This window comes from Homo sapiens, chromosome 8 (assembly GCF_000001405.40).
Source record: "Homo sapiens chromosome 8, GRCh38.p14 Primary Assembly".
In the NCBI taxonomy this organism is placed as follows: domain Eukaryota; kingdom Metazoa; phylum Chordata; class Mammalia; order Primates; family Hominidae; genus Homo; species Homo sapiens.
In genome coordinates, this window is record NC_000008.11 from 25,393,303 (window position 1) to 25,417,198 (window position 23,896).

General features: G+C 42.5%; 1 protein-coding gene across 1 annotated transcript in view; it reads left to right on the plus strand.

The window, feature by feature from the left end:
* DOCK5 (dedicator of cytokinesis 5) overlaps nt 1-22,409 on the plus strand; it is a 231,023-nt gene extending 208,614 nt beyond the window's left edge. Inside the window, exons 45-52 of the mRNA NM_024940.8 lie at nt 2,241-2,417; nt 6,609-6,692; nt 7,627-7,764; nt 10,256-10,422; nt 14,681-14,852; nt 15,500-15,638; nt 16,797-16,900; nt 17,892-22,409. Of these exons, the coding sequence (NP_079216.4) occupies nt 2,241-2,417; nt 6,609-6,692; nt 7,627-7,764; nt 10,256-10,422; nt 14,681-14,852; nt 15,500-15,638; nt 16,797-16,900; nt 17,892-17,996 (1,086 nt within the window). The 3' untranslated portion in view covers nt 17,997-22,409. The remainder of the gene's footprint in view (nt 1-2,240; nt 2,418-6,608; nt 6,693-7,626; nt 7,765-10,255; nt 10,423-14,680; nt 14,853-15,499; nt 15,639-16,796; nt 16,901-17,891) is intronic.

Genomic DNA, 23,896 nt, shown 5'->3' on the forward strand with positions numbered 1-23,896 from the left:
TGTTTAGTATTGATTAAATCTGTTTTATTTCCCACCTCCTCATTGGCCTCCCTGCCATGCATGGCCTTCTCAGGTCCAGTTACCTCACTGCCTCAGTGGGAATTCCATTAAGGAAATCTCACCATTTCGTCCATTCTCGTGCTTAAAGTCCTTCCATGGCTCCAAGTACCTGGAGTATAAAGCCTGTCCTCCTTAGCACACACACGTATGGCCTAACTCTTCTGCCCCATCTCCTAGGCAATCTGTTGGAACCATACTGTTCATCCCATGCTAATTTCAGTCCTCTGTGACACTGGATCGTTTTCTCTGCCTGAAACACACTCTTGCAATTTCTGCACCTAACTAACTCCCATCAAGGTTCAGTTTAGGCACCAGCTTCTCAATGAATCCATCTCTGGAACACCCAAGTTGGGTGACCTGCCCTTTGTCTGTCCCCTGTGGCATCCTGGGCGTGTTTCTAACCTACCATGTTTACATGTCCTGAGACCCCGCTAACACCATCAGCTCCTCCAAGCCATGAAATACATACATCTTAATCACTTTTGTATCTGTGGTGCATAGCATGGCACTTAGCCTAAAGTAGGTGTTCAAGAAATGTTTCTTGACCAAAGCTGAACTGAAGTTTGATGTGTTATAAGTCATGGCTAGGTACAGTGGCTCATGCCTGTAATCCCTGAACTTTGAGAAGCCAAGGTGGGAGGATCACTTGAGCTCAGGAGTTCAAGACCACCCTGGGCAACATAGCAAGACCCCCACCTCTACAAAAAGAATAGCAGTATGTGGTGGCATGTGCCTGTCATCCTAGCTACTTGGGAGGCTGAGGCAAGAAGATGGCTTGAGCCCAGGAGTTGGAGGTTACAGTGAGCTGTGAATAATTGCACTACTGCAGTCCAGCCTGGTCAACTGAGTGACACCCTGTCTCTAAAAGAAAAAAAAATTAGACATTATTCCTCAGTTATGGATATGAATTTTGGATGGAGACTTTTGGAATCAAGTCTGGAATAGGAGGTCATGTTGACTGATAATGGGTAAAATGAAGAAGGAGATACTTTTTTTTTTTTTGAAACCTGATTTTGTAGACATTTCCATAGGAAGAACTCTCTGAATCTGTACTGTGTCTCATTTTCTTTTCATTCAAAATTCAGCCTGTATATTCGAATACATCCTATTATTTCTGACTTCTGATACACATAGAATTCATACTAAGATTATGTATGGTCTGAATGCATGGCCTCCAAGATCACTTACCTCTTTTCATGGAGGAAGCATCAAACGTTTTGCCAGTGGACATTCTTGGTGGTTCAGAAGTGACTCAGATCTGATATCCTGCTGTTCTCTTGTCGTTGATCTTCTCAAAAGTCTCCAAGGAAGTGTTGCCTAGGAAATGATTCTTACTACAGGTCCAGTTCTTTTCTTCTCAAATTTTCTGTAGACATTTTGTCCAAGGAATAATCATTACCATAGCTCCAATGTTTAAGTCATCATTCTACTTTGTAAGGAGATTTTAAATAGCTTATTTTGTATCTTACCACTATTCCAAAAAATTGTGGTGTCCTTATAAGCTAGCAGTCCCCAATCTTTTTGACACAGGGACTGCTTTCCTGGAAGACAATTTTTCCATGGACCTGGGGTGGGAAGGTGGGGGGTGTTGGGGGATAGGGGATGGTTTTGGAATGATTCAAGCACATTACATTTACTGTGCACTATATTTCTATCATTATTATATTGTAACACATATTGAAATAATTATCATGTGGAATCAGTAGGAGCCCTAGCTTGTTTTCCTGCAACTAGAAGGTCCCTTCTAGAGGTAATGGGAGACAGTGACAGATCATCAGGCATTAGATTCTCATAAGGCATGCACAACCTAGATCCCTCGCATGTGCAGTTCACGATAGAGTTTGCACTCCTATGAAAATCTGATACCACCACTGATCTGACAGCAGGCAGAGCTCAGGTTGTAATGCGAGCGATGGAGAGTGGCTATAAATACAGATGAAGCTTCCCTCACTTACCTGTCGCTCACCTCTGGCTGTGTGGCCTGTTTCCTAATAGGCCACGGACTGATACTGGCCTGGCATTTTGGGACCCCTGCTATAAGTCTAACCTTGATTAGCAAATCTTCCCTTTTCTATAGCTTGTGGGCATTTTATACCTCTTCAAGGGAAGAGTTAAACTTTTTTCAGTCTTTACTTGGAGCTGACAAGTGTCCTCTTTCTCCCATGTGCTCTGTCACTCAGGAAGAGATCAGTCCTCTGGAGAATGCCATCGAAACCATGGAGCTGACCAACGAGAGGATCAGCAACTGTGTTCAGCAGCATGCCTGGGACCGGTCCCTCTCTGTGCACCCTCTCTCCATGCTGCTCAGTGGCATCGTGGACCCGGCCGTCATGGGGGGCTTCTCCAACTATGAAAAGGTTCGCTTGGTCCCAGAATCCCCTAGGGATTCACAGACCTGGGTGTCTGTGTGCCTCCCTCTGTGCCATTTGCCACTGACAAATTCATTTCCTACAGCTGCTCTAAGAAATGTTCACTTTCCCTTCTGGCAAGTGAAGTGAATGAAACGATTGTCCCTGACTTCTTAGAGACTATCAGCAACCCAGCTGGTATAGAACTTACCTAGTAAAGCGTCACAGAAAAAAAACCAACATGCCTCTGGTCAAAGCACCTGTTATTCTGTCTCCCCTGAGGGTTATACAAACTGATTGGTGGACCCCAGAACCCAGGCGCACTGGAAATGAAGCAGCATCTCTGGGGATGGCAGAGCCACACTCTCTTTAGAATTAGCTTCTAGGGGCCAGGTGTAGTGGTTCACACCTGTAATCCCAGGATTTAGGGAGGCCAAGGCAGGTGGATCACTTGAGGTCAGGAGCGCGAGACCATCTTGGCCAACATGGTGAAACCGCGTCTCTACTAAAAATACAAAAATTGGCCAGGCATGATGGTGCATGCCTGTAGTCCGAGCTACTCAGGAGGCTGAGGCACGAGAATCACTTTTAACCCCAGAGGCAAAGGTTTCAGTAAGCCGAGATTGGGCCACTGCACTCCAGCTTGGGTGGCGGAATTAGCTTCTAGGACCCCTGCCTGACTTGGTGTGCCAGAGGTTGTATGGACAACTGATGGCCCTGACTCTACAATTAAATTAGTTCAACTAAGTATTCTTAGTTGAGACATGAAAGCAGTACTTGGCACAATTTAATCCATGGGATAGGGTTAGGATGTAACAGCATTTAAAATACACATCATGCATTCAGTGTATGTTAGGTATAATTAATGGAGGCAGAATTTTTCATTGCTGTGGTATGTTTACAGTGGTTAAATATTTTTTGAATATAAACTTTTTGGATATAAATCAACATTTGTCAAGGACGCCCCTGTGGAGCCGCCTGGAGAGTGGGTAGAAATTAAAGGAGCCAGAGGGGAAGGGTGAGCAGCATTAATTGGGTGGCACTCTTGTGTCCGTGTGTGTGTGTGTGTGTGTGTGTGTGTGTGTGTGTCCCGGGAAGAGCAGGAGCTTTGCACTCAGTTGCTCCCAGGACCCAGTTCTGGCTTCCAATTGGCCACTGTGTGCTCTGGGCAACATGCTTCACCTCTCTGAGCTCCATATATCTGCAAAGTGAGAAGAATGCCTGACTTGGCCAGGCACGGTGACTCATGCCTGTAATCCCAGCACTTTGGGAAGCCGAGGCGGGAGATCACCTGAGGCCAAGAGATAGAGACCAGCCTGGCGAACTTGGCGAAACCCTGTCTCTAATAAAAACATAAAAAAATCAGCTGGGCGTGATGGCGGGTGCCTGTAATCTCAGGTACTGGAGAGGCTGAGGCATTAGAATTGCTTGAACCCGGGAGGTGGAGGCTGCAGTGAGCCAAGATTGTACCACTGAACTCCAGCCTGGGTGACAGAACAACACTCCGTCTAAAAAAAAAAAAAGAAGAAAAATGCCTGACTCACAAGATAGATCACAGGATGGTTTGGAAGATTAAGGGAGACATCCTGTGTAGAAGGAACATCAGACAGTGCTTGACATAGAGTCGAGGCTTCACCAGTGTTGGTTTTCTTCCTGCCTACTTGGAGCAGACGGTGTAATTGGAATGTTCTTCATGGGTGGTGACATCTATGCTCTGTGGCTGCCACTATGATCGTCTTCTTTCTGTCCTTTTTCTCAGGCTTTCAGCCTTCTGTAGCCTTATTATACTCAGCAGCTGGGAAAGACTCAACACCAGAGACAAATTCTAGTTTCTCCATGTTAGGTGCCATAATAATATCCAGTGTTACAATGGCAGTCAATATAAAAATAGGATCTAATATACACTACTTTTTAAATACTGTAATACTTTCAGTGTGTACTTTTTCATATATATTGTTTGATACTAATCTTCATGTATTTTTTCCAAGTATTAATTTTTACAGAATACCCCTAATCACAGATTTATATATGCCAATATCTGTGACTGACACATAATATCATATGAAGTTTTTCCAGCGTGACAGTGTTCTAATTAAAATGAACAAAAAGCTAGGATAAATACATACATACATACATACATACGTACATTTCGGGACCTTTGGCTTAAGATACTAATGTATTCATTTAGTTAATATGTATGACTGCACATTTCTAAACGTAAGAAAAAGGTAAACTCATTAATCACCATGATGTATTGCAATCAGTGGGGTAGCCCGTCATTACATATTTGATGTAATATGTAATGGTAATAGGTAGTAGGTAAACTATTCTAATCCAGCTCTTTATTCATCGCCAAAATGATAAGAACACAGGAGCTGTGTGCTGTAATTCATCTCCCCTTTCTGTTCTGAGGCAGAACCCTACTAGAAAAATGAATTTCAGGGCTCTCTGCTCCAGTGTTCCCTGATCTAACCAATACTTTGGGAATTTCCATGTGTCCTACCATTTACCAAAAACAAAATTGTTACAACTTTCAAAAATTTCAAGTACTTGTATTTGAAAGGTAAAAGTCAATGAAAACTTAAGTAAATACTCCTTTTTCATTTATACTGACAGTCCCTCTAAATACGATCCTGGCTAGAATGAGCTGTTTTGCTAATGTATTATATTGTCATGCTTCTTTTTCTGATAATTATTTCATATATATTCATATTCTCTGTTGTATTAGTTTGCTAGGGCTGCTGTAACAAAGTTCTCCAAACTGGGTGGCTTAAAACAACAAAAACTTCTTGTTTCACTGTTGCACGAGCAAGAAGTCTGAAATCAAGGTGTCACAGTGTTGGTTCCTTCCAAGGATGTGTGAAAGAATGTTCCATGTCTCTCGTCCTGGCTTCTGGTGTCTTCTTGGTGCTCCGTGGCTTGAGGATGCTCCTCCATGTCTTGTCGATGGCCATCTTCTTGCATCTCTTCACATAATGTTCTCCCAGTGTTTGCACTTCTGTCTCCAAATTTCCCCTTTTTATAAGGACACCAGTCATATGGGCTTAAGGGCCCACCCTACTCCAGTATGTATGACCTCCTCTTAACTAATTAAATCTGCAACAGCCTTGCTTCCAAATAGGGTCACATTCTAAGGTACCAGGCATTAGGACTTCAGCATAGGAATTTGGGGGACATAATTCAACCCATAATGTCTGCTCGCAAGATAGGCTTTGCACATACTTTGTTTGCCACGCAAAATGGGCCATTCACTTTTATAAGTCTGTCCTGTAGTTCCAGGAGCTCTTGGTTTTATATAATGGGGGGTTTGGCTCTCAAGGCATTAAAGCAGAAGACCGAAGGGGAATCTGAAGGCTGGTCTTCGAAAGCACTTTCAGAAATGAATGTTAAGGTCTGGGAAGAAAACATGTCACTCCAATTTTGGAGTCTGTTGGAAACGTTTGCTGCAAACTTCTATTTCTCTTTCCTGATGAATTCTGTCTTTAAAACAGTACCCTATATAAGGCCTGTGTTTGGAATTTAAGTTTGGGTTTTATTTACCTGTTACAGGGACTTAGCTGGGGGGTCATGAGTGTTTACTGATGAGCCTGGTGCTGATATATAATAATAAGGGCAACCAGCATTTAATATATTTGAAATGTCTTCACATCTACATCTCATTTTCTTTTTAAAATAGCACTTGGGATAGGGGACTAGTAAGAAAGTGCAAATATTAACCTTCACTTAATATAGGAAAAAAGCGTGATATAGCCAATGTCACGGGACGAGCAGAAAAACTGTCACCTCCATCTTCTGTTTTTTAACTTTTTGCTCTTTCCCTTATAATATCTATGCACTTAATTTAATGATTAGCCTTGAGATATTGCCATTTCGCCTTTGCTTTGTTCTTTGGGAAAGTTATTTTAACGAATGACGTTTTGCTTTGTTGATGATGATTATTTGATTAGTGTGTGTGTGTGGTGGGCTGGTGACTGTTAAGAATGTAGTTTTGCTAAGAATTTGCTAATTAAGGAAAGACCACACAATAGCACACACTTTTTTGCATTGTCCAACATAGTATAAGAGCTGTCTGAGGAAAGGGATGCATTTTTAGTTAGACACATCTGGTTCTTCCGCACAGGACACATGTTTCACCCTTCCAGGCTTTCCTGCACAGATAGGAATGTGTTCTAATTAAAACTTGCATATGCTTTTTTTTAGGCTTTTTTTACAGAAAAGTACTTGCAGGAGCATCCTGAAGACCAGGAGAAGGTTGAGCTGCTAAAGCGACTAATAGCATTACAGGTACAGGACGGCTTTCCTCTACACTCCCAGGGAGGCCACAGTGTGGGACACCCATTATTCTCCAGGGCTTAAGTCTACAAGCCCACTCAGGGTGACTTTTCTTTCTTTTTTTAACCCTTGTGAAAGCACCACCTATCTATGTATTTGTTTGCTCGGCCGGCAGTTAAACTGCCCAGGGTTGACGGAGCCTTCTTAAAGCTGAGATCAAAGTTCATCGGCTGGGGCCGGGCCCAGTGGCTTATGCCTGTAATCCCAGCACTTTGGGAGGCTGAAGTGGGTGGATCACCTGAGGTCAGGAGTTCCAGACCAGCCTGGCCAACATGGTGAAACCCCATCTCTACTAAAACTACAAAATTAGCCAGGCATGGTGGTGCATGCTTGTAATCCCAGCTACTCAGGAGGCCGAGGCAGGAGAATCATTTGAACTCAGGAGGCAGAGGTTGCAGTGAGCCGAGATCACGCCACAGCACTCCAGCCTGGGCAACAGAGTGAGACTCCATCTCAAAAAAAAAAAAAAGAAAAGTTCATCTGTTGGTTTCCTGGCATGTGTTTCCAGCTGAGAGATGCTGGCCTCATTTTTTTCTCTCAAGACTTCAGTGGGCAGTGGTAGAAAACATGACTACCAAATTCAGTCTAAGACTTAAACCTATCAGTTGCTCATCCACGGAAGTGCCCCAGGACTCCGTTAGATTTGCCTCATCCCACAGTCCTTCCCCAGTTTAGGGCCAACCTGTATTCTTGGTGTGCACATTTTCCCACATCATTGACCAAAGTCCATCCAGTCCACAAGTCCTACACTGAGAAGTGGCCTTCCCATTGGCCAGCACTATGTCTAGCAGTTTACCTTTCCACCCCATCCCTCCCTTCCCCAACCAAATCAAAACGATCCCTCTTCCTGAAGCACACTGCACTCATTTTTTGCCCTTCTTTCCAGATGCCCCTGCTAACAGAAGGGATCCGCATCCATGGGGAGAAACTCACAGAGCAGCTGAAGCCGCTGCATGAGCGGTTGTCTTCTTGCTTCCGGGAACTCAAGGAGAAAGTAGAAAAGCACTATGGGGTTATAACACTGGTAAGCATGATCTAAGTAGCCTTCACACCTTTTTCTAGGCTCTGTGACCTTTTATGACACTGATTCGTTTTTCAGATGCCAAGTGAGTTGTAATAACTTAGCTATGGCATGGAAATAGTGAGGCTGGTGGGAGAGAGTGTGTTCCCCTCTTGGTGACCTTGAGCAGTCCTTGTGCTGGTCAGAGGTTCTCCAACTTGAACAACTATCAGAACCTCCCAGAGCGCCTGTGAAAATACAGATGGCTGAGCCATCATAACCCTGGAGTTTATGATTCCATAGATCTGGGGGTGGGGCCCAAGTAGTTGCAATTCTGAGAAGTTCCCGGGTGATATTGATGCTGCTGGTCTGGGGACAACACTTTGAGAACCACTGTACTAGAAATCAGGCCAGGTGCAGTGGCTCACAGCTGTAATCCCAGCACTTTGGGAGGCCAAGGAGGGCTGATCACTTGTGGTCAGGAGTTCGAGACCAGCCTGGCCAACATGGTGAAACACCATCTCTACTAAAAATACAAAAAATTAGCTGGGCATGGCGTCAGGCACCTGTAGTCCCGGCTATTCAGGAGGCTGTGGCAAGAGAATTGCTTGTACCCAGGAGGCGGAGGTTTCATTGAGCCGAGATCACACCATTGCACTCCAGCCTGGGCGACAGAGCGAGACTCTATCTCAAAACAAACAAACAAACAAACCAAAATAACTCAAAGTTTTCTGAATCCTAGACACTGGTTATTCTTGTGCTGTCTGGCCAAATTCTTACATTTTTTCCTAATCTTAGAAATAGTATCTATTTTGATGAAAAGTATACAGTTTTCACGCCTTTGAAGGGAAGAAGGAATTGTGAATTACATTTCATATGCATGTAGCTGCTTTCATAATTGTTTTTGACGAGCTCCTCACAGCTACAATTTTCTTTTCTCCTCCTGAGCAGTTCAGTGGATAGTGCGTGTATGTACTAACCTTTTCTCTCCAGTGAGTGATGGTGTAATACGTTCTAGCTCTACTTATCTGCATTTTTTTCTTTGAATTCATCCTGTTCTCTTTAATGGTCTTATTCTTTTTGTTTTGTTTTGTTTTTGTTTTTGAGACAGGATCTCTCTTTGTCACCCAGGCTGAAGTGCAGTGCGAGATCACAGCTCACTGCAGCCTTGACTTCCCAGGCTCAAGCCATCCTCCCACCTCAGCTTCCTGAGTAGCTGGAACTACAGGTGTGCTCCACCACACCCAGCTAATTTTTTTTTGTTTGTTTTTTGAGACAGAGTCTCGCTCTGTCGCCCAGGCTGGAGTGCAGTGGCACGATCTCAGCTCACTGCAAGCTCTGCCTCCCAGGTTCACACCATTCTCCTGCCTCAGCCTCCTGAGTAGCTGGGACTACATGTGCCCGCCACCATGCCCAGCTATTTTTTTGCATTTTTAGTAGAGACGAGGTTTCACCATGTTAGCCGGAATGGTCTCAATCTCCTGACCTTGTGATCCGCCTGCCTCGGCCTCCCAAAGTGCTGGGATTACAGGTGTGAGCCACCGCGCCCGGCCCACACCCAGCTAATTTTTAAAACTTTTTTGTAGAGATAGAGTCTCCCTATGTTGCCCAGGCTGGCCTCCAACTCCTGGACTCAAGCAATCCTCCTGCCTCAGCCTCCCAAAATGCTGGGATTACAGGTGTGAACCAGCATGCCCAGCCCTTTAATGGTCTTATTCTTAAACCCCTTATTTTCACATTATTTCCTCAAACCAAAGCTCTGAGTTTCTTTTCATGCTCTTTTCTCCCCCATTCCTGTCTGCCCACCTTCAGTACAGTTTCCTCCAGGGTATCTTTTTGAGCGTGTCTTTCAGCCATTAAGTGTTCAGTCGTGCCTTCTTCCTAAGATTGTGCCTCCTAACCTGCTGCTACTTAAGAGTTTTTCTAGGAGCATTTGTCTTTTGCACACACATTCCTAGACAGCAAAGACTGTCTTCGATTTAATGAGCTTAGTCATTATTAGAACTTGGCCGGTATTAGTGAGTCATTTTCATATGGTGGCATCTGGGGGTAATCCTACTGGTGACATTTCTAGAGAACATAGGATTCACCAGGTTAAGCTGCATGTCTACAGTGTCAATCTAACAATTTTCTCTAACCCCAATATTCCATATTTTAAAAGACTGAAAGCAGCTGAGCTGGGGAAGCAGACGGAAGGTTTTGCTATTTATTGGAGAGTGTGAGGCACATCTTAATTTTTTCCTGTCTCATTTAGGTAGCAGAAAATTATGACAACTTTTTCTCTAGTCTTAGCATCAGGGAGGTTTAACCTAAGTTGTACCTATAGCTAACAGTATCAGTACATGCAATATTTAACAATAGAGGCAGCACAGGCACCAACCAATCAGAATGGGGTGCCAGCCACATAACCAGTACAGATGGGTACTGGTTAGCCACAAGCAAACAGGGCAGCTGTGGCCAGTTCATAGGGGCTGGATTCCAGGTCCGCTAACCATGTGGAGTCATATGTTTTCAGCCACCCAACTTGACGGAGAGGAAGCAAAGCCGCACGGGGTCTATTGTGCTCCCCTACATCATGTCTTCCACTCTGCGGAGGTTGTCCATCACCTCAGTCACTTCCTCTGTGGTTTCCACCTCTTCAAACTCGTCTGACAATGCTCCTTCCAGACCGGGATCTGATGGGTAAGGGTTTCATCTTTAATCTGCAGGAAGGGTGGGGTAACGCCTTACTAATGTTTGCCTTTAGCCACGCATCACTCCTTTGAGAAAAATAGCCTTTGGGTCATTCTCATTGTCTTCCTCATGAGGAATGTCATGATTAGCAGAATAATAACAACAGTTACTAAAAATGAAAAATGACAAAGAAATCACCCATAATCCTACCACACTATTACATACCTATAGTCATTACCTATTTTTTTCATCATTTCCATTTTAAAAAATAAATTTTTACATCTATTTTATGAATAGGTTTTATAATCACATGGCATGAAATTCCAAAAGAACCAAACGATATATCACAAAAAATCTCCCTTTAATCTGAGACTTCCCACTACAGTAGAAGCCCTGCAGTAGCCCCACCCCTAGAGCCAGATGATGCTAACATTCAGGTTCTTGGTAGCCCCATGGCAGCTCTTTATAGGTTCACAAGCATTGCGTAATTATGTGTTCTTCCCCACACTTTTTTTATATGAATGGTAGAATTTTCTTTACTTTGCTTTTTTTCATTTAATATTATATCTTGAAACTCTTTCCATTTCAGAACATAAAAAGCCCCCTCTTTATGCTTTCTGTAGCTATAGATATGGCTCATTGTATGTATGTGGCATGATACAGATTGAGTATCCCTCATCCAAAATGCTTGGGGCCCGAAGTGTTTTGAATTTCGGATGTTTTAGTATTTTTGGATATTTGCGTTATACCTGTTCAGCATCCCTAATCCAAAAACCCCAAATCTGAAATGTTCCAGTAAGCATTTCCTTTGAGCGTCATGTCAGCATTCAAATATTTCACATTTTGGAGCATTTTGGATTTTGGATTTTGGGATTGGGGATATTCAACCTGTATATTCTACCAGTGCTTACTGGTGGTTATTCAGTTGCTTTCACTCTATTACTGTTACTTCAGTGTGACAATGAATAACCTTAAACACATGTTATTTTGTACATATACAACTATATCAATATGGGAAAAATCTCGTATGTGAAATTGCTCTGTCAAAGATGTATATTTGCAATTTTGAAAATTATTCCTAAACCGACTTCCATAAAGATTATACCAGTTTACACTCCCACCAGCAACACACAGGAGTGCCTAGTTACTCACCCTAGCCACCAAACTGTACTCTTAGTCTTTTTAAATTTTACCAATCTGATAGGTGGAAAATATTTTCTTGTATACTTTTTGTTTGTTTTTTGGTTTTTGTTTATTTTTCTTGTTTTGCCTGAAGTTGAACATCTTTTCATTTGTTTGTAGTTTTATTTTCTGTGACCTGTGGTCAAATACTTTTTTCTGTTGAATTGTTGGCCCTTTGTCTGTGAAATGAGTTGAAATGTTTTCTCCTAATTTCTCCTTTATCTTTTGACTTCTAATTTGTTGCTTCTAATTTTTTATTGAGTTGTGCTGATTTTTTTATGTAGTTATATAATCAATCTTTTATTTTATGACTTCTGGGTTTTATTTCACAATTAAAGGCCTTTCCCACTCTAAGATAACAAAAAAGGTACTTTTTTTTTTTCATTGACTTTTAGGGTTTCACTATTTACAATTTTGTCTGTAATCCTTTAGAATTTATTCTAATATAAGATGTTAAGTATGGAGCCAACATTTTTATTTCCAAATGGCTACTCAATTCTTCTTATAACATTTAGTGAACAAGTCATCTTTTTGTTTTTTTTGAAATGTCAATCTTATAAAAAATCAAATTTCCACATACTCTTTAGTCTGTGGACATTTTTTTTCTATTTCTTAGATTTACCTGTCTATTCATGTATCAGTACTATGCAATCTTAATTATTATAGATATAAAACATTTTTTATTTCCTAATATTCCTTTTCAGAATTTAATCTGGCTAGTGTCGCTATTGCTCACTGTTAGATTAACTTGTCTAGAATCCTATTGCTATTTTTATTAGGATCATGTTAAATGTATGGACTAACTTTAGGAAGAGTGATGGCTTTTTGATGCTGAGGCTTCCTTGCCAGAAACATAAAATGCCTTTCCATATGTTCAAATTTAAAATATTTGAAAGGAGTTATAGTTGTGTTCTTTCTGCCTAGCAATATATTTAAATAATATATTGCTAAAATACAGGAAAGGTTTAAAAGAAAACAATGCTTTATTACTTCATCACTCAAAGATAACCACCGTTAAAGCTCAGGTATATAATATCAAAAAAGTATGTTTATTTTTTATTTTTTATTTTTATTTCTTTGAGATGGAGTCTGGCTCTGTCACCCAGGCTGGAGTGCAGTGGTGCGATCTCGGCTCACCGCAAGCTCCGCCTCCCGGGTTCACGCCATTCTCCTGCCTCAGTCTCCCGAGTAGCTGAGACTACAGGCGCCCGCCACCATGCCCGACTAATTTTTTGTACTTTTAGTAGAGATGGGGTTTCACCATGTTAGCCAGGATGGTGTCGATCTCCTGACCTCGTGATTCGCCCGCCTCAGCTTCCCAAAGTGCTGGGATTACAGGCGTGAGCCACCACACCTGGCCCTGTTTATTTTTTATACAAGTGGAAAAGCATTGCATCTATCATGTTGTGACCTACTGCTTAATTTAATATAGGTGATGAGCATTTATGCATCATTAAGTATTTAAAATAGTCTTGAATATAAGTTATCAGTTGACTCACCATTTTTTCACAAATGTTTAATTCCATAATACAATAATTACATCATAAAAATAACCTACCTGAATGCCACCCTGCCTGGAAATCAAATATGTAGTGTTTCTTAAATTATGCATTCTTTTCCGTTGATATAGGTATATTTACATAGCTCCAATTATAGCATATAGTTTGGTACTTTGCTGTTCTTTCTTACCTTTTTATTATAAGCATTTGTCATGTTGCTGTGTAATTTTTATTTATGTATTTTTTTTTGAGACAGAGTCTCGTTGTGTCGCCCAGGCTGGAGTGCAGTGGTGCAATCTCGGCTCGCTGCAACCTCTGCCTCCTGGGTTCAAGCTATTCTCCTGCCTTAGCCTCTTGAGTAGCTGGGACTACAGGCGCCCACCACCACGCCTGGTGAAGTTTTATATTCTTAGTAGAGACGAGGTTTCACCGTATTGGCCAGGCTGGTCTCTAACTCCTGACCTCATGATCCGCCCACCTCGGCCTCTCAAAGTGCTGGGATTACAGGCGTGAGCCACCGTGCCTGGCTGTGTAATCTTTATTACTATCAGCTTTTACCATCATTTTTGATGGCAGTTGACATTGCATCATACAAATATGCCATGATTAATTATTCTTCTACTATAGAATATTTAAGCTGTATCCTTCTTTCTAAACAATTAACCATAAAACTTCATTATAGATTTTAATACAAAAATATGTATGTAACTTGTATCAGTATAAAATATATTTTTATTAAAAACTATAGCAAACATATTTGGACATGTAGCTTTCTTATTAGGATGCATTCTTAGAAGTGGTGGGATTATTTCTAGAATGTAGTAATCTAGATTCTAGATTACTTCTAGAATCTAGATTACATTCTAGTAGTATATAGTAATCTAGATTACTACATTCTAGTAGTATGTAGTTTGTGGGTAGGATTTGAACACAGGCTATCTGGCTCCAGAGTTGTGCTCTTACCCACTACATAAAACTGTCTATTGAATCTCTTACTTTAAAGATTCTGTCTTTGCCTGTACATTGAATTAAGCCCTTCACTTCCTGGGATAAGATACTCCCTAATATTTTCGTCCAGTCGTCTGATGGTCTTGTTTCTGTACATTAACACCTTGAGATGTTTGTTCAGTTGTAATTGAAAATTTAGATTTAGAATCTGAGAGTGAAGTCATAGGTCAAGAGTAGGTTGAGGAGGCCGGGCATGGTGGCTCACGCCTCTAGCCTTAGCACTTTGGGAGGGCTGAGGTAGGAGCATCACTTGAGCCCAGGAGTTTGAGACAGCCTGGGCAACAGTTTGAGACCAGCCTGGGCAACATGGTGAAACCCCATCCCTACTAAAACAATACAAACTTTAGCTGGGCATGGTGGTACACACCTGTAGTCCCAGCCACTCAGAAGTCAAGGTTATAGTGAGATGTGATCGCACCACTGCACTCCAGCCTGAATGATGGGAGAAAGACCCTGTCTCAAAAAAAAAAAAAAAAAAAAAATAGCCTAAAGAGTCATAACTGCTGGTACTTTCATAGTGAATTTTGATTGCAAGGTGATCAGTATTTGTGATGTTTGTCCTTGTTCCTGGCCAATAGCTCAATCTTGGAGCCACTTTTGGAGCGCAGGGCCTCGTCAGGTGCCAGAGTTGAAGATCTGTCCCTTAGAGAGGAGAACAGCGAGAACCGGATCAGCAAGTTTAAGAGAAAAGACTGGAGTCTGAGCAAGTCCCAGGTCATTGCAGAGAAAGCACCAGAACCCGATTTGATGGTAAAAAACAGAAAAGAAAAAAAGAAATCTCTGGAGGCTTGCCCCCCTCTCCCCTGTACCCAGGCATATCACCATCCCCTCCCAGATTGAAGCTGGGCTATGGCTTGTTTCAGGACTCAGCAGCCTGGGTTAGTGTCAGGTCGCAGATTGTGGTAAGGAAAGCACATACCTCATGAGAAGTTCGAGTCTATAAATCAACATTGGTGAAGATCTTGTACCCACAATGTAAACATGTGGGTTGATGCTTAGAGCTGTCGTTCTTGCCACTCTGTCCCCTGAGTCAATCCAAACATTGTCATTTCTCTTCTTTAATTTTTTTAAAAGGTACTTTTCCTTCCATATCAAGTTGTTAAATGTGGCAAGACCACCTTTTCCTGAGAATCAGGGTGGCTTATTTCCAACATAAATGACACAGCCCAACTGTGATCAGAAGAATCAAGTCTGTGGCCATTCAGAAAATAATCTGTGGTTCAGTGGTTCTAGTCAGTGCCTGTTCGGTGTTGCCCATCATATGACAATGCTTAAAAATCGCTCCTTCAGTTAAGTCCTTTTCCAAGTGTCTTCTCAGAAGACAAGGCTGTTGAGAGCATTGTTGAGCTCAGCCTTCCTCACCGTGAAAATGTTTTGCTTTTTCTCTCTGGTCCTAGAGCCCAACCAGAAAAGCACAAAGGCCAAAGAGTCTCCAGTTGATGGATAATCGGCTATCACCATTTCACGGTTCTTCACCTCCTCAGTCAACACCCTTGAGCCCACCTCCACTCACTCCCAAAGCCACCAGGACCCTAAGTAAGTTTTCCTGTATTCCTTATAGTCTTTTTACTAGGGAATGGAGTATGTTTATGCATCTGGGCAGTTTGTAACTAAACCAGCCAGAATGTATGTAAGACCATTGTAAAACTGGTTCAATTTCGTGTTCGTGTATTATACAGTTAGACTGGAGTTTGGCAAGGAGGCCACTAGGACTCATTAAACTTTTCTGGATAGTGATCCAAAGGGCATTAGTGTCAGTTTTATAATTGTGAAGGTATAAATGAGGCAGATCTGCACTAGGACTAGACAGATAACAAGTAACTTACAAGCTAACCATTAGTTAGGTAGACCTGAACAGGGACAAGAAATAGACCCATTCCATCTACTGCTTATAGTCTGGCTTGGGGAACCAGCAGTGCACAACACTTGAGAAGAATTGCAAAGTACCCATAGTCCAGAGGCATGGTAGAGGGATAAATCTATCGAGCCAGATGGGAGACAATTGTCAACCAAGAGTTAGAGATAATCAGTTACAGTTTCCTGGAGGAAGTGGATATTTTCCTAAGCACTTGGGCTATATCAGAGAACAGAATAATACCATACATTCCAGAAAATGTTGTCATCTTCAGCTTAATACTAAAACCCTGAACAAAAAAAGTTTTGGCCAGGCACGGTAGCTCACGCCTGTAATCCCAGCACTTTGGGAGGCCGAGGCAGGTGAATCACGAGGTCAGGAGATCGAGATCATCCTGGCTACAGTGAAACCCCATCTGTACTAAAAAATACAAAAAATTAGCTGGGCGTGATGGTGGGTGCCTGTAGTCCCAGCTACCTGGGAGGCTGAGGCAGGAGAATGGCGTGAACCCGGGAGGCGGAGCTTGCAGTGAGCTGAGATCGCGCCACTGCACTCCAGCCTGGGCAACAGAGCGAGACTCCATCTCAAAAAAACAAAAATAAAAAAAATAAAGTTTTTGCTTCAGAACACCTTGTGGAGCTCTTGAAACTTCTGGCGAGGGCGTCACCTGTGTGATGTGGGGTAAGAAGTCTTCTTCGTTCTATCCGCAGAAACCATAGAATGTGGCTTTCATCAGTTGGTTGACCAGGTTGGCTTAGGTGTTACAGTGCCAGCAACATTTCCATGAGCTTCCTTGCTCAGTGCCTCTCTCTGCCGCCTGCACTTTCTGTCATTTCTAGGCTCCCCATCGTTGCAGACAGATGGAATCGCGGCCACTCCTGTCCCACCTCCACCTCCCCCCAAAAGCAAGCCCTATGAAGGCAGCCAGAGGAACTCCACTGAGGTAGGGAAATCACAGCTGGCAACTGTGGCCAGGGAGCGCCACTCCTGGGAAGGCAGCATCAGGTTTTCCAGGCTCTTTAGTGGGCAGGTTTGCTCATAGACCTGTCACTGCAGTCGATTCTTGGCTCATTCCTGAAACCACAGGAGATAGAGAAGTTTTCAATGGGAAGGACAGACATGCAAGCAGATGATGAAGGTAGAGGCAGGTGTTCTCTGTACCTCGTCCTGGGTACCTGTGAAATAAGCCGTGAGTTCTAGTTCACCTTTTTAGGGGGGCGGGGGCAGGGTCTGGCTCTGTCACCCAGGCTGGAGTGCAATAGTGCGATCATAGCTCACTGCAGCCTCAAACTCCTGGGCTCAAGTGATTCTCCTACCTTGGCCTCTCAATTAGCTGGGACTACAGGCATGTGCCACCATGCCCAGCTAATTTTTTAATCTTTTGTTGAAATGGGGTCTCTCCATATTGCCCAGGCTGATCTCAAACTCCTGGCCTCAAGTGATCCCCCCCACCCACCTCAGCCTTCCAAAGTGCTGAGATTACAGATGTGAGCCACTGCCTGCCCCCAGCCCTCTATTTCACATTTGAAGAGTTTACTTCTTCTGAATAAAGGACAGTCATTCTGGAGTGACCTCAGATGGGTTTCCTTCAGTCATTTAACAAATGACTTTTAAGTGCCTCCTGTCTATACGCCAGGAACCCAAGTGTTGGGGATATGGCAGCGAGAGAGAGAGAGAAAATGTGTGTGTGTGTGTGTGTGTGTGTGTGTGTGTGCGCGCGCGCGCACGCACGCACGCACGCACGCGTGTGTCTGATTAGCTCATGGGAAACAAGGAGGATAAGTCAGTGTAGTTTTCCATTTCACTTTGCAAAGCCTGTGTAGATAAACTCAGATCAATTAGAAGCTAAAGCAGAATATGAGAAATAGGAGGAGAAGGCAGAATTGGGAAGAAAGCTAAGACCTGCTTCTAATTTTGTGTTTCTGCTTCTGCAGCTCGCTCCCCCACTGCCTGTCCGAAGAGAAGCCAAAGCACCACCCCCTCCACCTCCAAAGGCTCGGAAGTCTGGCATCCCTACTTCCGAGCCTGGATCCCAGTAAGGATCTTGCCCTCCCTGCAACACCGAGTGCCTTAGACAGCTGCTGCCTGAGAACTGGCCTCCAGCCGGTGTCCTCATTCCATGGGGCTCCCTGCTGACTGCATTTCCTGATCTGGGATGATGTTTACCAGCCCAAAACCAGTCATGTTCTTCCAAAAGCTTCTCTTTGATAGAATTTTGAGGCCATGCCACCTCCCTTCCAGTCCACATGGAATTCCAGAATCAGTCACAGCCTCTGATTTTTTCCAAGAAGAGATTGCCTTCACCATTGTTAAATGTCAGCCTGTACGGCAGAGACATGGTGGTCTGCACAAGCCTGGACAAGTTCTTCCATATTGATGGTGGAGCAACCCCTGTAATCTACTCCTTGGAAGGATTTTTTGCTTTGCTTATGAAAAGCTGTGCTTGAGACTTAGGTACTTTTCTCACGTGGACACACTGATCCCATCCCATATTGCATCTTGGAAGAGATGGATATCAAGTACACTTTGGTAGCTGAAATAATCATATCTTTCTGATGTCTATTGTATCTCCTTTGAGGAAAAGAACACACATTTTTAATGGAGATTGGCTGCTTTCAGGTATGTGTGTCTATCATTGAAAGAGCATGGACTCAAACATCAGCCCTGAGTTCTTGAGTCCACCCAACTCCCATCTTCTTGTGGCACAGGAAAGCTGCCCTCTCCCTCTCCCACCACACTCCTGACTAATGGCCTTCACTGCGTCGCAGTCACTCCTTCCCTACGGACTTCTTTGAAGCTCTTCCTTTTGCACATACGGCTTTTTTTTTTTTTTTTTTTTTTTGTCCTATTACCTCCTCTGAGCGCAAATCACTGGCTACAAGGGACTTACCAGTCTGGATTCAGCAGTTTCTTTTCTAAAACCCATTTGGGTGACTCAGCAGCCGCATCTGCTACCTGATTTTATCCTGGAGAATACAGTGCAATATTTCTCTTTGATTATTTATTCCTCTTGATTGTGGAATTAATTTGATTGCTTGCTAATGGTACTAGTAGTACTCCTTTCAGAAGAAAAAATGGAGCGATTTAGGTGACCAAATATTACATACATAAATAGCCACATGAAGTTTTAGACGTTTGGACTTGAAGCCTCAAAGATCAACCAACCAGTCCCCTTATTTAGTAAATAAGGAAATTGAGGCTACACACAGAAAATTGTGCTACAGATTATTACTAATAACCCAGCTTGCTAAATTAGGCTATACCTAGGTAATCTCTAGAAGACAACTCTGACAGACTCTTTAATATTTACCCCTGGTTGGAACAATATTTGAAATGTCCCAGATATTTCTATGCTACTTAGATATTTGTGGCAAAGCAGAAAGCTTTTTGACTGTGAAGGCAGAGGTCAGCACTGGGGGAAACTTGCTGGTGGTCTCTCCCACAACCTTGCCCAGAGTCCTTTCCACTAAGGAGGTGAAGAGAACAGAGAAAGAGATTTCCATTTCTGCTGCCAGAGCTGGTATTTGCCTGCCTGATTCTCTGTGTTTCCTGTTTCACCGCCACCCTTTCAGGAGAGAACTACACCAGTTCATCATGAGGGTCAGGGAAGCAAAAGCTCTCAGATGTGTCCAGGGCGTTACTTAAGAAATGAGTATGCAGATTCTGGAAGGGGTGTGGAAAAGGTGATCCTTTACCCCCACCCAGGAAAACCTGCATTGTGCTAGCATGGAAGAATCATGGGCTTTGGAATTAAACCCATTTGGTGGAATTAAACCCATTTGGTTTCAAATCCCAGTTATGACATCTGTTAACTTTGCAAACTCACAAAAATTATTTGAAATTATCTGAGTTTTCATTTTCTCACCTTCCAGAATGGGGATAATGCCTCCTGCATCGGTTGTTGTGAGGTTTCAATGAGATGAAATATGGGAAAGAAGAGGTACTCACCTGATGGTCCCTGCTTTCCTCTGCTAGGCCTGAGTAGGAACTGGAACTCTCTAAGAGCATTACTCATACTTTTTTTTTCTTCCAAGGTAGTTTGGAATGTGAGTGCAAGTTAGTTCTGCACATACAGCCCTTCTCCAAATGGTGGTTTCCTTTGAGGTCTTTTACATGATTATTTATGACTAGAGACAAACTTAATAAGAACTCAAGAGGATTTTAAATGGAGAGAACTCAAGCTGTAGAGAAAGGAGGAGGCAACAGACAGGATATGTAGGGGCTTACCTAGAGCCTGGCACGACTTCTGAGAAGTCACCCAGCAGACCGGCTAGAGGGGATTTGTGTGCCACACTCTACTTGCCGGGCTGCCATTAAAATAGAAAGATATAAAACTGGGTCACCAAAAAAACCAAACCTCAAGGCTATCCTTCCAGAGCAGTAGAAATGAGTCCCACAGCCTGGTCTTTGAGCAGAGGCTGGGAAGATAGGATACATCACTGTCTGGATACCTTCTCTTTTTAATAGAATATATTCCGTATGATTCCCTTTCCACCTTAATGGAAATAATAGCTCTCTCCTGCCTGAACAAAAGGGATTCCAGGTAGTATTGTGGCTAAGAGATTACAGCGGACGATGGAAGGTTCATTTTTTAGGGAAGGTGTTGGGTAGGAAGAGTCACATTTGACAGAATTCATAAATAATGTGTCCTGAAGTCAGAGGATGACTGCAAAGAAACACCTCATGATTCCATTAAATATAAAGAGATAAGGAGCAAGGAGGAAAAAAGAGAAAGAATTGGTCTTTATTTTTCTTGCTAAGAACTCTCTGGAGTATTGAAAGACATTGAAATTATCCCTAAAATTGTCACAACTTTTGTGAATACTGGTATACGGTTGGAGGTGTTTTTAAATCTTTATTTCCTCTCTTTCTTTGTTCTAGTGACTTGTCTTGCTTTAAGATTTTTTTTAAAGGATTGTTTTATTCAACATATATCAAGTTCTTATGGAATGCCAGTCATGGTACTAGCCCCTTGGGATGTAGTGGTTGAGTGTGTTCAATGGAAACAGCCCCAGTATACAAAGACAGTTCACTCTGGTGTGCTGTAGGATTGGAAAGGGAGTGGTACCAGATGAAAATGAAACCCTAAAGAAGACTGCTGGGCCATGAGTTGCTTCCTCCTCCTCCACCTTAACCCTCTGATTCCAGAATTGCAGTCATTTTCTTCTGCCAAGGAAATCCATTAAAAACTGCAGCCACACTGCAATTTCCTAATGTAGAACAAGATATAAAGCAGGCTTTGAGACAACAACCTACCTTTGTTTACTCTTTCCAAGCTGGAAGAGTCCTTCTCCTCTAGTTGCCCCTAGGTCACTGGCTAATTTATTTTAAAATTTAGATGGAACTCATGTATAGTTAAGTGCACAAATCTTAGCCGTGCAGATGGGTAATTTTCACATAGCTATTTGCCCACATCCGTGCCTCTAAGATAGAGACATACACTGTTTTCAGCACCCCAGAAAGTTCCCACATGCCCATGGTGCCATTTTGTGAAAGGTATTTATAAGGCCCTTCAAATTTGTGGCTTCCTTTCTCATACTTCTCAGGTATAATGAAAGGGGGAGAAAAACCCCACCATCAACACAAAACAAGGCTATAAAGACTGTGCACCTTTTAACAAGTCAATTTGTAGTCAGTCCCTGGGCCTGTCTTTTTTTTTTTTTAATTTTGAAGCTACCTGAGGTTTAGAATTCCTTCAGCCCTAGCTGCTTTTATTCTGCTTTTTATTTAAACAAAAAGAGGGGGAGGATCTGAAGGAAACTAGTTTTCTGTACAAAGGCTTTGAGGTCCATGGACTATACTTGTCCCATTTATCATCCCAGGTGGTGCTTTGACCCTGCCATACCCTGGCTATTAAGATAAAAAGATTTGTGGACATTAAAATTATGAATATGTCAGTAATAATCCAGCACACATTGAAATATTGACACAGATTACCATAATTTGTGCAACATCTTATAAACAATGTCATTTCCATAGTAGTCTAAGGCTTCACCAGCCTGGCCCACTGTATCTAGACTTTAGGTTCATTTTAATAATTATGCTTTCCTTCTCTGTATCATTTGGGAAGTTGATAAATATCACTTCCTTAGATACCTTCATTCAGTGATATATCTGGCTTTTACAATTAAATTGGAAAAGGTAAGTTTCTCTTTGGTGGGTTGAGAGTTGGACCATCAATTCTAATCTACAAAAGGAAATTCATGATTTCACTCTGACGCCTAGGATCTAGCCAAGGCTGGTCTGCAGTATCAGATGTCCAAACTCATCTACTATTAGCCATATTTTGTGAGTCGTTTGTCTAAACTTTGTCAAAAATGCCTTTGCCATGATTTTGTTGCTATCTGGATTTCAAACATGGACAGTTAGGAAGATGTGCATTGAAGTAGGAAAATTTTGTTCAGATTTGCTGTTATTTATTTTTTAAATTAAAAATGGAAATGTATTTTAAAGTTTATTGTGTGTTTAGTTTGTTATTGCCCTTAAGTTGATGAAATCATTCCTGAACTTGGCAGTTTTTCCTTATCCATGCCTCCTTCATGACACATCACACCTAGCATTTTTCTGGCTTGTTTCCTTACAGGTCCTGTTAGGTTAAACCTGCACTGTGGGGTCCTGGAGTCATCTTTGCCCAGAAATAAGAAAAATTACAAACCACTTGCTTCCTTTCACCCTATCTATTTTTTTTTCTATCTAGGCTGACAGTTTTCTGATAGCAATTCATTTAATGTACATAGGTTCTGTTTCTTTACCCATTCCCCATAGATATTTAGACAGGTAAAGAGAGAAATAAAAAGGTTAAAGGGGATATCTAATAACTTACATGAAAAGGATAGGAACTGGTTCTAAAATGGTTGAATGTTTGTATCACCTGGGGAGAGGCCATTCCCAGACCAATTACATCAGAATTTCTGAGGGTGGGGAGTAAGATCCCAGGCATCCATATTTCTTTAAAGTCCCTCCCAAGTTATTCCAATGCTAGACCAAGGTTGGAAAACCACCACATAAAGGAAATGAGACTTTAGAAAATTGGTATTTAAGATGTGTTTCATAAAATCCCTGCTGGTGGTGGGTCAAGTTGGAGAGAGGGAAGGGGCAGTCACACCTGTATTAGCACCACTGTTTAGTCCTGAGCTTATGCTTACGATTTTTTTTCCCCCAAGAAAGTGTTCTGTCCAGGAGCTGTGGCTCAAGCCTATAATCTCAGCACTTTGGGAGGCCAAGGCAGGAGGACTGCCTAAGCCCAGGAGGTAGAGGCAACAGTAAGCCCTGATCATGCAACTGCACTCCAGCCTGAGTGACAGAGTAAGACTCTGTTTCCACAAAAAATTTAAAGAAATTAGCCAGGCACAGTGATGCGTGTCTATAGTCCCAGCTACTTGGGAGGCTGAGGTAGGAGGATCGTTTGAGCCCTGGAAGTCAAGCCTGCAGTTACCCATGATCATCTTACTGCACTCCAGCAGGAGCGACAGAGGCCCCATCTCTACAAAAAATAAAAAAAAATTAGCTAGGCATGGTGGTGCGTGCCTGTAGTCCCAGCTACTTGGGAGGCTGAGGTGGGAGAATCACTTGAGCCCAGGAGGTCAAGGCTGCAGTGAGCTATAATTATGCCACTGCACTCCAGCCTGGGTGACAAAGAGAAACCCTATCTCAAAAAAAAAAAAAAGTGTTCCAGTGCTTTGCTTTTTAGAAGCAATAATGCTTCACTGTGTTCATATGATTTGTAAGAGTCACGCTTCTTGAAAACACCACAGCGTTTGGGCCGTAAATACTAACTTGACAGATCTGGGTAATCTTTTGGCTCTAGGATCCCCATAGAGAAATACTATAAAGTGTCTTCCTCTGTCAAAATCCAAGTGCTATTATCTTATGCAGTGATTCTTGGCTTTTTTCCAGTCATCTGTAAGCTACTGCAACTTCTAAAAGTTTTGCTAAAATG